The 16786-nt window shown below is 51.7% G+C and overlaps 2 annotated features.

Annotated features, from left to right (window-relative positions):
- Positions 13911-14090: a silencer, noted in NCBI's record as "silent region_9897". NCBI's record gives its function as "represses an Ori minimal core promoter by ATAC-STARR-seq in GM12878 lymphoblastoid cells {active_cell/tissue: GM12878}" and the evidence as "EXISTENCE:reporter gene assay evidence [ECO:0000049][PMID:35858748]".
- Positions 16680-16759: a silencer, noted in NCBI's record as "silent region_9898". NCBI's record gives its function as "represses an Ori minimal core promoter by ATAC-STARR-seq in GM12878 lymphoblastoid cells {active_cell/tissue: GM12878}" and the evidence as "EXISTENCE:reporter gene assay evidence [ECO:0000049][PMID:35858748]".

A 16786-nucleotide genomic window follows, 5' to 3' on the forward strand; every position in this document is an offset into this window, starting at 1 on the left:
ACAAACAAACAAACAAAAAACAGACTTGGCCCTGTCTTCCTGGCAGTTCCAGCCTCATGGCTGGAAACATATATAATTGTTTGTTTTGAGACAGAGTCTCACTCTGTCACTCAGGCTGGAGTGCAGTGGTGCAATCTCTTTGCTCACTGCAACCTTCACCTCCTGGGTTCAAGGGATTCTCCTGCCTCAGCCTCCTGAGTAACTGGGATTACAGGCATGTGCCACCACACCCAGCTAATTTTTGTATTTTTAGTAGAGACGGGGTTTCACCATGTTGCCCAGGCTGGTCTCAAACTCCTTACCTCAGGTGATCCACCCGCCTTGGCTTCCCAAAGTGCTGGGTTTACAGGTGTGAGCCACCTCGCCTGGTCGGATTCTAGATTTTAGATTGGCCAGTTTGGTCCCAGCTGTTGGGGGCGGGACTGGAGAAGGTGGGAGAGGCTGGGGAAGAGCCCTTGGGCAGAGGGGAGGGAAGGATGGAGACGAGGCAGGAGGTGGGACCTATGTAGAGGGCAGGGCAGGAGGTGAGTTTGATGCCTGCCTGGGGCTGGGGCCTTGGACCTTCCCCTCTAGGCAGCCCTGCCTCTGAAGCTGTTTCTGAGTTTTCTGCCTTCCCCATCCTCTGAATTCCCCTGTCTCTCCCCGCCTCGCTCCCTCTGCTGCCCGTGATGAAGAATGGAATTATATTTTTATAACTTCTTGTTTTTCCTGAACCAAGTTCCATGTGCACTGGGCTAAATTTAAAAAGCGGATGGATGGAGAGATGATCATGTTCACTTTCACTCCCTTGGAAAAAAATAAACGCCTTGATTCAGGTGCCATTTCCCTCGGGGACACTGGGGGCGGGGTGGTGGCCTTTCTGCTCACAGTGACAGGGCTGGACAGAGATAAGTCAGACCTGGATTCCAGCTGCCTCCTTCCGGAAGCCTTGCCTGACCTGTGCCTGAACCAGGCCCACCCCTCAGATCTTCTGACACCCTGGGCATCCCCCAAAACAGCCCTGGTCACCCTGTGCTGGAACTGCCTGTTTGCTTGTTCTCTCTGCCTGGTCCTCCTTTCCCATTCTTTTTTTTTTTTTTTTTTTTTTTTGAGACAGAGTCTCGCTCTGTTGCCCAGGCTGCAGTGCAGTGGCGCGATCTTGGCTCACTGCAACCTCCGCCTCCCAGATTCAAGCAATTCTCCTGCCTCAGCCTACCTAGTAGCTGGGATTACAGGCGCGCACCACTACACCCATCCTTTGCCATCTTTAGGGCTAGCTTCTCAACCTTTAGGGCTTAGCTCCAATGTTACCTCCTCCAGGAAGCCCTCCCGGACCGCCCTGACTAAAGAAGCTACGAAGTTGTTTTCTATCACATCATCATCATAATCTTCTTTTTTTTTATGAGACAGGGTCCCCTGTCGCCCAGGCTGGAGTGCAGTGGCATGATCACAGCTCACTACAGCCTTGAACTCCTGGACTCAAGCAATCCTCTTGCCTCAGCTTCCCCCGTAGCTGGAACGTAGCTAGCACACCACCATACCTGGTGCTTGTATTTTCTTTTTTTTTTTTTTTGAGACGGAGTTTCGCTTTTGTTTCCCAGGCTGGAGTGCAATGGCATGATCTCCGGTTCACTGCAAGCTCCGCCTCCCGGATTCAAGCCATTCTCCTGCCTCAGCCTCCCGAGTAGCTGGGATTACAGGCATGTGCCACCACACCTGGCTAATTTTGTATTTTTAGCAGAGATGGGGTTTCTCCGTGTGGGTCAGGGTGGTCTCGAACTCCCAACCTCAGGTGATCCACCCACTTCGGCCTCCCAAAGTGCTGGGATTCCAGGCGTGAGCCACCGCACCCAGCGCTTGTATTTTCTTTAGAACATTTTTTATCACCCGGAATTCTCTTAGGCTAATATTTGTAATTTGTTAAGCACAGTTAAGGGAACTGGATCTGGACTGCCTAACCCCTCCCAAGTCCCAACTACAGGCTGGCCCCTGCCAGCCTGTCCCTGTAGCCTTCATTTTCACTCTCCCTGCATTATTCAGTCACCACTCAGCAAACATGTTTTAAGTGGCTACTGCACTAGACCGTGTATCTCATGGCTCCTAGTCCTGCCCTGGTGCTTACAATCACCCAGGGAGTTTCAAATTCCAACCAACACCTTCCATCCCTCCCCTCCACTGGAGATTATGAATGAATCGGTCTAGAGCTGGGGGCTGGGAAAAGGATTCAAGTGTGCCCTCAGGACATAGAACAATTGCTGTAGGTTTTGTTTTTTCCTTTTTTTTTTTTTTTTTTTTTTTGAGGCAGCGTCTCACTCTGTCGCCCAGGCTGCAGTGCAGTGGTGTGATTTCGGCTCACTGCAACCTCCGCCTCCCAGGCTCAAGTGATTCTCCTGCCGCAGCCTCCTGAGTAGTAGCTGGGATTACAGGTGCATGCCACCACGCCTGGCTAAGTTTTGTATTTTAAGTAGAGATGGGTTTCACCATGTTGGCCAGGCTGGTCTTGAACTCCTGATCTCAGGCGTTCCTCCCACCTTGGCCTCCCAAAGTGCTAGGATGACAGGCATGAGCCAACATGCCCAGCCTCTGCAATAGGTTTTCTTATCTCCCAAAGGCCGTGCTCACTGCTGCCCCCAAGCCTTTGCTGAAGCTGGTCCCTCTGCTGGAACACACTCCTGCTTCCTCTCCACCTATTTAAATCCTCCATAACTTTCTTTGTTATAAACATTTTTTTTTTCTAATTTTGAGGAAAGTAAAAAGGAAAGACAAGTGCAAAGACAAATATAGCAAGCACCTGTGTTTCCTCCACACAGGACCAGCGGTGCTTAACCCTTCTCATGTTTGCTTCAGGCCTGTTTTGTTTTGTAAGTAAGAATGGAAATACTGGAAGTCAAGGTACAGTGGCCTTTGACCTCCTCCAGTCACGCATTTTTCTACATTCTTATGTGTATAAACTCTCACCCATCCATGAACGTGACTAGTGTAATTTTGCACACTAAAAATAAATCTTAATATTCTCATAAGGTACATATCATCCTGCAATTTGCTCTTTTCACTCAATATTTTATTTTATTAATTTTTTAAATATTTATTTTATTTATTTATGGATTTATTTTGAGATGGAGTTTCATTCGTGTTGCCCAGGCTGGAGTGCAATGGTGCAATCTCGGCTCACCGCGACCTCCGACTCCCGGGTTCAAGTGATTCTCCCGCCTCAGCCTCCTGAGTAGCTGGGATTACAGGTACACGCCACCACTCCTGACTAATTTTTTTGTATTTTTAGTAGAGGTGGGGTTCCTCCACATTGGCCAGGCTGGTCTCCAACTCCTGACCTCAAGTGATCCACCTGCCTCGGCCTCCCAAAGTGCTGGGATTACAGGTGTGAGGCACTGTGCCCCACTCTGTCAATGAACTTTTAGGTTAATTCCTGGTTTTGGTTTTGGTTTTAGAGATGCAGTCTTCCTATGCTGCCCAGGCTGGAGTGCAGTGGCTATTCACAAACACAATCATGGCACACCACAGCCTCGAACTCCTGGCCTCAAGTGATCCTCCTGCCTCGGCCTCCCAACTAGCTGGGACTACCACTGCACCCCGCTCTATTCCTGGTTTTTAATATTACAAAAGGTGCTACTATGAAAAGTCTTTTCCTCTCTCTTTATGCACTTGGCAAAGTATTTCTCTAAGAACTATGACTAGAAATGGAATCACTGGAACATTGGATGTGTGCGTGGTTTACCTGACTATTTAATGCCCAAGTGCTTTCTAGGATTAAGCTACAACCGGTAACTGTGGAAGCTCCCCTTCTTCCATTTTTTTTTTTTTTGAGACGGAGTCTCAATCTGTCGCCCAGGATGGAGTGCAGTGGTGCGATCTCGGCTCACTGCAAGCTCCGCCTCCCGGGTTCACGCCATTCTCCTGCCTCAGCCTCCCGAGTAGCTGGCACTACAGGCACCCACCACCACGCCCGGCTAATTTTTTTTGTATTTTTAGTAGAGACGGGGTTTCACTGTGTTAGCCAGGATGGTCTCGATCTCCTGACCTCGTGATCGGCCCGCCTCGGCCTCCCAAAGTGCTGGGATTACAGGCGTGAGCCACCAGCCTTTTTTTTTTTTTTGAGATGGAGTCTTGCTCTGTCACCCAGGCTGGTGTGCAATGGTGCAATCTTGGCTCCCTGCAACCTCCGCCTCTCAGGTTCAGGTGATTCTCCTACTTCAGCCTCCCAAATAGCTGGGATTACAGGCACCTGCCACCATGCCTGGATAATTTTTGTATTTTTAGTAGAGACGGGGTTTCACCATGTTGACCGGGCTGGTCTCGAACTCCTGACCTCAGGTGAGCCACCTGCCTCGGCCTCCCAAAGTGCGGGGATTACAGATGTCAGCCATTTCACCTGGCCGTCTCCCATGGTTTTGCTGATACTTGAAACCTTGAGTTTTTCAGGCTTTCTCTTCAAATCTCCCCCAGTCTATTGTGGCCTTTTTGGACCCTCCAGGCTCCTGGGTTTTGCCACAGGGCCACCTCACTGCACTCATGGTGCTAGGCACCCTCGCCTGCAGTGCACCATCGCTACCCAGTTTGAGCATGAAAGAACCAACTGTCTCTGGCTTCAGACTCTTAACAATTGGAAGTGGAACCTGCCAGGCACTGCGGCTCATGCCTGTAATGCCAGTACTTTGGGAGGCGGAGGCAGGAGGTTCTCTTGAGGCCAGGAGTTTGAGACCATCCTGGGCAACGCAGCAAGACTCCCGTCTCTATGACAAATATATAATAAAATAATAAATTGGGAGTGACTCTCAGGTCCTAGCGCTTTCCCCCCATAGCTATTCCAGAAATTCCAAGATCTTACACATTACGCAGAAAAGGCGCTTATCAACATTCTTTTGCCAGTCATTAAAACAACCACTCCCACGATAACAACAAAAAAGAAAAAGTGGCCGGGTCCGGTGGCTCACGCCTGTAATCCCAGCACCTTGGGAGGCCGAGGTGGGCGGATCACTTGAGGCCAGGAGTTCAAGACCAGCCTGGCCAACGTGATGAAACCCCGTCTCCACTAAAGATACAAAAATTAGCTGGACATGTTGGCACATGCTTGTAATCCCAGCTACTCAGGAGGCTGAGGTAGGAGAATCGCTTGAACCCGAGAGGCAGAGGTTGCAGTGAGCAGAGATTGTGCCACTGCACTCCAGCCTCGGTGACAGAATGAGACTTTGTCTCAAAAAAAAAAATTAAAAAAAAAAAAATAAGGCCGGGCGCGGTGGCTCACGCCTGTAATCCCAGCACTTTGGGAGGCCAAGGTGGGTGGATCACGAGGTCAGGAGATCGAGACCATCCTGGCTAACACGGTGAAACCCTGTCTCTACTAAAACTACAAAAAATTAGCCAGGCGTGGTGGCGGGCACCTGTAGTCCCAGCTACTCAGGAGGCTGAGGCAGGAGAATGGCATGAACCCAGGAGACGGAGCTTGCAGTGAGCTGAGATTGCGCCACTGCACTCTAGCCTGGGCGACAGAGCGAGACTCCATCTCAAAAAAAAAAAAAAAAAAAAGGAAAATTACTACCCAGGCTCATTGACAAGTGCAATATTACAGCTTCAGGTATGGTTGGATCCAGGAACTTGACTCATGACATTAGCAATTTTTCTCTTGCCATCTCTCAACTCTGCTTTCTTCTGGGCTGGCTTCTCCCAGCCTCACCCCCGAGGTGGGCTCCCCTTTCTTAGTGGCAAGGATGCCCCTCAGTGGCTCCAAATTCCATCCTCCCAGCTCTATATCCTGCGGGTAGGGACACAGAGCCTCCTCTTCTCATTCTCACTGGCTCAGTCCTGAACCAATCATAGCAACCCCCAGAAGAGGTAGTGCTCTGATTGGCCAGGACAGCTGGGGGAGGGTGGAGTCAGCTAACTACTGAGACCAGAAGTGGGGAAAGGGCTGCTCCCCAAGGAAAATTGGGGTTGCTGGTTGCTAAGGAAGAGAGTCGGCAAAACCAACTGTGATTGCCACTAGGAAACTCAAGGCAAAGAATTCTCAAATTCTTTTTTTTTTTTTTTGAGACAGAGTCTTACTCTGTCACCCAGGCTGGAGTACAGCGGCGTGGTCTCTGCTCACTGCCACCTCCGCCTCCCGGGTTCAAGTGATTCTTCTACCTCAGCCTCCCAAGTAGCTAGGATTACAGGCGTGCACCACCATGCCTGGCTAATTTTTTTTTTTTTTTTTTTTTTTTTTGTATTTTTAGTAGAGGAAGGGGTTTCACCATGTTGGCCAGGCTGGTCTTGAACTCCTGACCTCAGATGATCCGCCCACCTCGGCCTCCCAAATTGCTGGAATAACAGGCATGAGCCACCGCACCTGGCCTCCTTGGGGTTCTGAGTTCTCTTACGCTAAAATCAAGGTGACTGCAGGATTGCATTCCTTCTGGAGGCTCTAGAGGAGAACTACTTTCCTTGCTTTTCCAGCTTCTAGAGGCTTCATTTTTAATTTAATTTAATTTTATGTTGTAGAGACTGGGGTCTCTCTATGTTGGCCAGGCTGGTCTTGAACTCCTGACCTCAAAGGATCCTCCTGCCTTGGCTTTCCAAAGTGCAGGGATTACAGGCATGAGCCACCATGTCCAGTCTTCAGAGGCTTCTTGGATTCCTTGGCTCATGGCCCCTTCCTCCATCTCCAAGCCAGCAAGGGCTGATGGAGTCTTTCTCAAGCTACCTCACCCTGGTTGTTCCTATTATCGATCAGGTCTACTTCTCTGAACCTGGCCTTCCTGCTTCCTTCTTTTTTTTTTTTTTTTTTTGACAGAGTCTCCAGAGTCTTGCTGTCTTGCCCAGGCTGGAGTGCAGTGGCGTGACCTCAGCTCACTGCAACCTCCGCCTTCTGGGTTCAAGCGATTCTTCTGCCTCAGTCTCCCGAGTAGCTGGGACGACAGATGCGAGCCACCACACCTGGCTAATTTTTTTTTTTTTTTTTTTTGTATTTTTAGTAGAGACGGGGTTTCACCATATTGGCCAGGCTGGTCTGGAACTCCTGACCTTGTGATCCACCCGCCTTGGCCTCCCAAAGTGCTGGGATTATAGGCATGAGCCACTGCGCCGGGCCCCATCTTTTCTTTTTTGGTTAGGTTTGGTTTGTTTTTTGGAGACGGAGTCTCACTCTGTCACTCAGGCTGGAGTGCAGTGGGGCAATCTCGGCTCACCGCAACCTCCACCTCCCGAGCACAAGTGATTCTCCCGCCTCAGCCTCCAGAGCAGCTAGGATTACAGGTGCCCACCACCACACCTGGCTAATTTTTGTATTTTTAGTAGAGACAGGGTTTCACCATGTTGGGCAGGCTTGGTTCAAACTCCTGACCTCAGGTGATCCACCCTCCTCGGCCTCCCAAAGTGCTGGGATTATAGGCATGAGCCACTGCGCCCAGCCTCCTTCTTCCTTCTTATAAGCACCCTGTGATTGCACTGGGTTTATCCAGATAATCCAGGATCATCTCCTCATCTCAAGATCCTTAATGTAATCCCATTTGCAAAGTGCTTTTTGCCAACTGAAGTACCATATGCATAGGATTTGGGAATTAGGATGTGGACATCTTTGGACGGGGAGGTGTCAATATTCTTCCAAGCACAATGGGCCATAAAGAGGAACAGACATGGGTGCATTTGTTTATTTCACAAACATTTATTGAGCACCTACTGTGTACTCACCTGTTCTAGGTCCTGAGAACACAGCAGAAAACAAGACAGGCCAGATACAGTGGCTCAAGCCTATAATCTCAGCTCTTTGGGAGGCAGAGGTGGGCAGATCACTAGAGGTCAGGAGTTGAAGACCAGCCTGGCCAACATGGTGAAGCCCCGTCTCTACTAAAAATATAAAAATTAGCCGGGTATGGTGGCAGGCACCTGTAATGCCAGCTACTTGGGAGGCTGAGGCAGGAGGATCGCTTGAACCCAGGTGGCAGAAGTTGCAGTGAGATCATGCCACTGCACTCCAGCCTGGGCAACAAAGCGAGGCTCTGTGTCAAAAAAAAAAAAAAAAAAAATAGGCCATGCGTGGCGACTCACACCTGGAATCCTAGCACTTTGGGAGGCCAAGGGAAGAGGATCACCTGAGGTCAGGAGTTTGAGACCAGCCTGGCCAACATGGCAAAACCCCATCTCTACTAAAAATACAAAAATTGGCCGGGTGTGGTGGCTCACACCTGTAATCCCAGCACTTTGGGAGCCAAGGCGGGTGGATCATCTGAGGTCAGGAGTTTGAGACCAGCCTGGCCAACATGGTGAAACCCCATCTCTACTAAAAATACAAAAATTAGCTGGGTGTGGTAGGCGCCTGTAATCCCAGCTGCTCGGGAGGCTGAGGCAGGAGAATCGCTTGAACCTGGGAGGCGGAGGTTGCAGCGAGCGGAGATTGTGCCATTGCACTCCAGCCTGGACAATAAGAGCAAGACTCTATCTCAAAAAAATATATAAATAAACAATAAATAAAAATACAAAAATTAGCCGGGCGCAGTGGTGCGCACCTGTAATCCCAGCTGTTCAGAAGGCTGAGGCAGGAGAATCACTTGAACCTGGGAGGCAGAGGTTGCAGTGATCAGAGATCACGCCACTGCACTCCAGCCTGGGCGACAGAGTGTGACCCCGTCTCAAATAAATAAATAAATAAACAAATAAAAAAGAAATAAATAAATTACCCAATCTCAGGGACGTTCTTTATAGCAGTGTGAGAACAGACCAATACATTCAGACTGCAGTGAGCCGTGATGGCACCACTGCATTTTAACCTGGGTGACAGAATGAGACCCTGTCTCTAAAAAAAAAATAAATAATAATCCTTTTTTTTTTAAATCACAAAGGTGAAAGGAAAATCAGCTTCTCTCACCATAGATTGAAGGTAACTGAAAATATAATTTAGTCTGATTGACTTAAATGGATCCCGTAGTGACGGAAGGAATGACAGGTGGGAGAGACTTAACAACCACTCCCTCGACCCCTCGCCCCTGGCAGGACCCACTTGAGACTTGAGAAAGACAGAACAGATATTCAAAGGGGTCACTGTGCAACTGGGCTTCCAGGTTATTTCATACCACGCCAAACACTCTCTGAAGTCATATTTTGTTTTGTTTTTTGTTTGTTGTTGGTTTTGAGATGGAGTTTCGCTCTTGTTGCCCAGGCTGGAGTGCAGTGGCGTGATCTCTGATCACTGCAACCTCTGCCTCCCAGGTTCAAGTGATTCTCCTGCCTCAGCCTTCTGAACAGCTGGGATTACAGGTGCGCACCACTGCGCCCGGCTAATTTTTGTATTTTTATTTATTGTTTATTTATATATTTTTTTGAGATAGAGTCTTGCTCTTATTGTCCAGGCTGGAGTGCAATGGCACAATCTCCGCTCGCTGCAACCTCCGCCTCCCAGGTTCAAGCGATTCTCCTGCCTCAGCCTCCCGAGCAGCTGGGATTACAGGCGCCCACCACACCCAGCTAATTTTTGTATTTTTAGTAGAGACGGGGTTTCACCATGTTGGCCAGGATGGCCTGGATCTCTTGACCTTGTGATCTGCCCACCTCGGCCTCCCAAAGTGCTGGGATTACAGTCGTGAGCCACCGTGACCGGGTAATTTATAAAGGAAAGAGGTTTAATTGACTTGGTTCCTCATGGCTGGGGAAGCCTCAGGAAATTTACAATCATGGTGGGACAGGAAGCAGCCTTCTTCACAAGACGGCTGGACAAAGGAGAAACTTCAAACACTTATAAAACCATCAGATCTCATGACAACTTACTCGCTATCAGGAGAAGAGCATGGGGGAAACTGCCCCCATGATCCAATCACCTCCCTCCCTCAACACGTGGGGATTACAATTCAAGATGAGATTTGGGTGAGGACACAGAAGCAAACCAGATCACTGGGCCTTCCAGGCTCAAGTGATCCTCCCACCTCGGCCTCCTGAGTAGCTGGGACCACAGGTGTGCACCACCACATCTGGCTAATCTTTGCATTTTTTTTTTTTTTTTTTGTAGAGATGGAGTCTTTTTATGTTACCCAGACTGGTCTGGAACTCCTGGCCTCAAGTGATCCTCCCGGCCTCAAGTGATCCTCCCGCTTCAGCCTCCCAAAGAGCTGGGATTACAGGCAAGAGCCACCGTGCCCGGCTAAAAAAGATTTTTAAAATACATTGACTGATATTTCAGATGTGAGGTTTAAAGGAAAATAGATAACTGTGGATATGGGGAAATGGAAGAAAAGATGAGAAGCCATTGGCACGGATTTGGGAAGCATTACCTGTCTCTTACACATGGGGAAACAGAGGCCCCGCCATGACCATGACTCACCAGGTGGGCTGAAGGTCTTTCTTCAGGAGGAGAGCTGAAGGGAGCTAGAAAAGTTTTCATCGGTTGGCTGCAGGGGCTCACGCCTGTAATCCCAGCACCTTGGGAGGCTGAGGCAGGTGGATCACTTGAGCTCAGGAGTTTGAGACCAGCCTGGCCAACATGGTGAAACCCATCTCTACTAAAAATACAAAAATTAGCTTGATGTGGTGGCATGCACCTGTAATCCCAGCTACTCGGGAGGCTGAGGAAGAGGAAGGAGAATCGCTTGAACCCGGGAGGCAGAGGCTGCAGTGAGCCGAGATCACGCCATTGTACTCCAGCCTGGGCGACAGAGCAAAACTCCATCTTAAAAAAAAAAAAAAAAAAAAAAAGAGCGTTTCATTAGCATTCCCCTATCCCTCTGTGAGTGGTTTTCTCCCTCTCCCTTGCTCATCCCGAGCTGATTAGAGCAAGTGCTCTATGAAGATCTCCAGGGAACAGCATCCCAGGCTATGGGCACCATGCATGCAAAGGCCCTGGGGCAGGACCACACCTGGCATGTTGGAGGAATAGCAAGGAGGCCCATGTGGCTGGAATAGAGTGAGCTAGGGGTAGAGAGGGAGGAGGGGAGGGGAAGGAGGGGACGGGACAGGTCGTGCGGGCCGTCATGGGCTGCAGGAAGGACTTGGGTCTTGACCTTGAGGGAGGTGGGAGCCATAGAGGGCTGTGGACAGAGGAGGAACAGGACCTGAGTCAGGTGCTCACAGGCACCCTCTAGTGGCTTTGCAGAGAATGCACTGAAGAGGCAGGGCAGTGGCCAAGGAGAGACCAGTCCAGCTCTCAGCACATGCTGTGTGTCTCCGGGGCAAGGGAAGTCACTCTATGGGCTCATTTTCCTTATCAGCTAAAAGGGGAACTTTAACAGCAGGCAGAGACTCAGAAAATGAGCAGAAGGAGCTCGCTGCCTGAGATTCAGGCCAGGCGTGGGGCTGCTGAGTTAATACTTTTAACAGGTCAGGATTCTGCTCACCACACTCCGGGAGGTGGGAAGATGAGGTCAGCCACACCCCCAGCTCAGGCTCTGATGAAGTCATCGTGACAGATGGGTAAGTGTGAGGACAGCTGTGGGAATATTTCCCACCTGTGCCCTGTGCCTCCTGCAAAGATGTAGATGAGCAAATCAACCGGCATTTCACAGTCAGACACAGCTCTCAGCACACCGCGCTGTCTAGGAGCCCTTCCTGCAGGAAGCCCTCCCGGATTGCCTGGGCCCTGTGGGGTCTCCCTGGAAGCTGTGGCAGGGGTGGGGGGCATTTCAGGGAGATAAGGAGCAGAGAGGCTGGCTAGACCGAGCCATGGTGAGGAAAGACAGGGCGGACGACAGAAGTGCTCCACGGGTGAAGGGACATGCTGGGCCATCAGCCACATAAGTCTGATTTGAATCCTGACCCAGATTCCCACTTGCTTTGTGGACAAGTCTGCTCCCTTCCTGGGCTTTGTTTTCTCAACCACAAATTGAGAAAAGAAATCTCATTTGATTGCTTAACACTCATTTAAGTGAGCACCTACTGTGTGCCAGGCCCTGTTTTGGGCACCAGGAACATGGCAGGAGAAAAATGGGCCCAGACCTGCTCTTCCAGGACCCTCAGTCCAGTAGAGGACCTGAATGTATCACCGAGCTGTTAAAATACAAGGTGTTAGGGCTGGGCGCAGAGGCTCATGTCTGTAATCCCAGCACCTTGGGAGGCTGAGGCAGGTGGATCACTTGAGGCCAGGAGTTCAAGACCAGCCTGGACAACATAGTCAGACTCCACCAAGACGGGGGTTGGGGGGGGAGAGAGAGAGAGGAGAGGAGAGAGAGAGAGGAGAGAGGAGGGAGAGAGGGAGAGGGAGAGAGAGAGAAAGAGAGAGAGAGAGAAATGTCCTTGCCTAGTCTAGAGGGGCTTCAGGCACAGTTTGATCAAGGGGCCCCAGTATTCAGTCTCCTTCCCGGACTTAGCTCTGTTCTCCTCCCCTGGCTTCTGCCACAAGGCAGATCTCATACCAGTCCTTAGCAGATCCCAGCTGGTATTTCCCCAGGCTGGTGCTGCCTCCTCTGTAGTTCTGGACTAAGCCCCGGGGCTGGCTCTCATCAGCCCACACTGAGTCATGTCCTGTAGCAGCTGCTCAGAACCACAGACATATCTCCCTGTTTTGGGGCGTTCTCTCTGCCCAGAGCTAAGGTTCCTGGGAGTAGTCCTTTGTCAACGCTGGTTGAACATGAGGGGATAAATACCCTAGCTTTTCTGATCTCTGGGTGCGGCGATTCTCAGCTGTTTTCTTTCTTTTTCCTTTTCTTTTTCTTTTTTTTTTTTTTCAGACAGAGTCTTGCTTTGTCACCCAGACTGGAGTCCTGTGGCACAATCTCGGCTCACTGCAACCTCCCAGGTTCAACCTCCCAGGTTCAGATGATTCTCCTGCCTTAGCCTCCTAAGTAGCTGAAACCACAGGCCCTCACCACCACGCCTGGCTAATTTTTGTATTTTCTGTAGAGGTGGGGTTTCACCATGTTGGCCAGGCTGGTCTCGAACTGACCTCAAGTGATTTGCCCGCCTTGGCCTCCCAAAGTCCTGGGATTACAGGCGTGAGCCACCGCGCCCGGCTGCCGGTGTCTTATTGAGGCCATCAGACAATGCAAGAGTGCTGAGTCCCAGCACCCTGTCCTTGCAGTTTTACAAATCTCTGAATCTGCTACGATCACTGCATCCATCTTCCAGATGCAGTCACTGAGGTTCCAAAAAGTGAAGTTTCCTTTCCTGCCCGGGATGACTAAGGACGCTCTATCCCCAGGGGCAGCAGAAGATCGGGCTGCCCTCTCCCCAAACACACCCACCCACCCACCCACAGGGGCACACACGGGCACACACGCACCGTCTACCTCCCCAGACACCCGGCTGACACAGGCTGGCGTCTGCACGGCTGACACTTGTAAATCCACCCTCCTTCGGGGGCAGGCTGGCTCCTTCTCTGGCAGCAGGAAGATAGAGGGAGTTGGTTTAGTGGTTGGGGGGAAAGGAGTGCGCCCCTGACCCCATGCCCAGCCCCCGACCCCAGGGAGGGTGACAGCCCCTCCCTCTCTTCCAGTGACCTTGGGAAAGTTCCAGGAGGCCCCCGGGCCTGGACTTTGAGAGGTGAGCGCTCCAGCAAGATTCGCTCCCCTCCTTCTGTCCCTGCTCTGGGCCCGCCCACCCACTCCCTTTCTCAAGCGGCCTTGGAAAGGGTCTTGCAGAGACAGACAGATGGCCTGGGGACAGATGGCGGACGTGTAGGAGTTACCACTGGGAGAGGGGTAAGGGGGAGGGGAGTGCGTTCTGGCCCCCAAGACGAGTCCCACAGGCTCCTGCAGAACAGAATAAGCCGCCTCCTTCAAGCCCCTCAACTGGGATATCATCGTCCCCCCGCAACCAGGATCCCATCACCCCATAAACGGAATCCCATCCCCCATCCCAACCAGGGTCTCATCATCCCCGCAAACGGAGTCCCATCGACCCCACATTCAAGGTTCCATAGCTCCCCCAAACGGGATCCCATGGCACTGGGCCGGGGCAGAGGCCCGGAGAAGAGGGTCGCTAGCTGCAGGTTGCACAGCCCGGCAGGGTGCGAGGCCTGGCCTGGGGGTGCGGGTGACTCTGGTGGGTCTAGGCTCCGCGGGGAGACTTGGGCCTGGAGACCCCGCCCCGCACGCAGATCCCGCCCGCCCCGGCCGCGGGTTCCGGGGAAGCGAAGGCGCCGCCAGCCCGGGCTGTGGGCAGAGCGCGCCCTCTGCCGGGCATGATCGGAAACGGCGCGGCGGCGACTCCCGGACCCTCGGGACTCCGGACCCGACTCCCACCCGGCTGAGCTTTACCGGGTTATAGAGCCCCCAACTCTGGATCGATCCCCGACCTCCTAAGGAACCGCGACACTGGGCTGAGCTCCCGCCTTGGGCTAAACCTCAATCCCAGTAGAGCTGGGACCTGGGCTGAGACCCCAACTTTGGATAGAGCCTCTGATCTGTCTTTGAGCCCTGGTCCTGAGCCAAGCCTCAAACTCCAATAGAGTCTCCATCGACCTGAGCTCCCAACTCAGGGCTGAGCCCCCCTCTAGGCTGAGGTCTGATACGGAATAGAGCCTGCGACCCCTTCTAAATCCCGACTCTGGGCTGAGCCTGGACCCTCGATAGAGTCTCCAACTCTAGGCTGAACCCTAACCCTGGGCTGCACCCTTACTGTAGACAGAGCCCAATCCCAGCAGAGGCCCTATTCTCACTAAGCCCCATCACCCAGTAAGCCTGCATTCCCGGCCAAGATCATCCCTCCCCCACCCCTAACACCCACTGAACCCTAGCCCTCCCGAGTCCCAACCTTCTTATCTGATACAGAAAAGAGACCAGGTGTGGTGGTTCTTGCCTGTAATCCCAGCGCTTTGGGAGGCAGAAGCAGGAGGATCGCTTGAGGCTAGGAGTTCGAGACCAGCCTGGGCAACATAGTGAGACACCCCCTATCTCTATTTAAAAAAATAAAAATTAGCCGAGCTTGGTGGTGCACACCTGTGATTTCAGCTACTTGGGAGGCTGAGGCAGAAGGATTGCTTGAACCCAGGAAGTTGAGACTGCAGTAAGCTGTGACTGCACCACTGCATTCCAGCCTGGGTGACAAATCGAGACCCTGTCTAAAAAAAAAGAAAGAAAGAAAAAAGGTGAAATCATGCTAGGCTCAGATGCCTCCAGTCCTCCTGCCCTGATGGGGAGACCCCCTTGATGCTGGGGTTGCGAGAGGAGCTGTACACACCACACCAAAGTCAGACCTAATCAGGTCCTAATCCCATCTCTGCCTCATCTGGCTGTGTGGCCTGGAACCTATCCCTTCCTCCCTCTGGGGTTCCATTTCGTCATCTGTGAAATGGGACAGTCACTCCTGACTCTACCACCTTGTGCCTGTGTGACCTCAGGCAAGTTACTTCCTCTCTCTGGGCCTCAGTCTCCTCCTCCAAAATGAAATAAGAAGGTGTTTTGTTTTGTTTCTTGAAACAGAGTCTCGCTCTGTCGTCCAGGCTGGAGTGCAGTGGCGCGATCTCGGCTCACTGCAACCTCTGCCTCCTGGGTTCAAGTGATTCTCGTGCCTTAGTCTCCCAAGTAGCTGGGACTACAGGCGTGCACCACCACTCCTGGCTAATTTTTTCATATTTTTGCTTTATTTTTTATTTTTTGAGATGGACTCTTGCTTTGTAGCCCAGGCTGGAGTGCAGTGCCGCGATCTCGGCTCACTGCAATCTCTGCCTCTGGGGTTCAAGCAATTCTAGCACCTCAGCCTCCCGAGTAGCTGGGACTACAGGCGTGCACCACCACGACCAGCTAATTTTTTTTTTTTGTATGTTTTATTTTTTGAGATGGAATTTTGCTCTGTCGCCCCGGCTGGAGTGCAGTGGCCCGATCTTGGCTCACTGCAACCTCTGCCTCCAGAGTTCAAGCGATTCCCCTGCCTCAGCCTCCTGAGTAGCTGGGATTACAGGCATGTGCCACCACACCCGGCTAATTTTTGTATTTTTAGTAGAGACGGGGTTCCACGATGTTGTCCAGGCTGGTCTCAAACTCCTGACCTCAGGTGATCCGCCCACCTCGGCCTCCCAAAGTGCTGGGATTACAGGGGTGAGCCACCGGGCCCAGCCAATGAGATATTTAACTTACTTTTGCCTCCTGAGGCCTGTGCCTCGGTCTTCCTGAATCCCGTGTGCAGGTCAGGACACACAACAGGCCCTCAACAATTTGTTGTCTGGCTTCCTGGAGGAAGAAGCAGCGAGGTTGCTATGGGCTCCCTAGGCCCTAGCTGCAACCGGGACCCAGAGTTGGGCTGCAGGGCGGAAATGGTGCTGCAGGGGACCTGGGAGCAGCTCCAGGGCCTGGTTCCCAGGACTCACAGCTGCATCCTCCCCGGGGGACCCCAGCTGGCGCTGCGCAGCCGGGAGGCTCCTGTGTGTCCTGCAGGCTCATTCCTACGGAAATCGAGGCTGGACCTGGGGATCCTCTGATGAGGTCTCCAGGAGCCCTCCACCTCACCCCAAAGATTCATCTATAGCCCCACAACCCTGGGTTAGATTCATCCCTTCTTGTGGCACAGAACTCTGTATTTTTAAAATTTTAACTTATTTTGATCTTCTTCTTTTTCTTTCTTTCTTTTTTTTTTTTTTTTTGTAGAGACAGGGTCTCCCTAGGTTGCCCAGGCTGGTTTCAAACTCCTGGGCTCAAGGGATCCTCCTGCCTTGGCCTCCCAAAGTGCTGGGATTCCAGGCGTGAGGCACCACACCTAGTTGGAATCTGCATTTTAAAATGGACTCTCAGATCTTTCTGACGCGAAGGGTTCCCCGAGGCCGTACTTTGAGAAACACGCTTCTGCCGAAATTCCTATTACCCAGGCGGGTAAACTAGCCCCAGAAGGAGGAAGGGGCCCGTGCAGAACCACGTGGTTGGTCTGTTTTGCCTTTTGGCTCTCTGGTCTCTTCCTGTTGGTGTCT

This window comes from Homo sapiens, chromosome 19 (assembly GCF_000001405.40).
Source record: "Homo sapiens chromosome 19, GRCh38.p14 Primary Assembly".
NCBI lineage: Eukaryota > Metazoa > Chordata > Mammalia > Primates > Hominidae > Homo > Homo sapiens.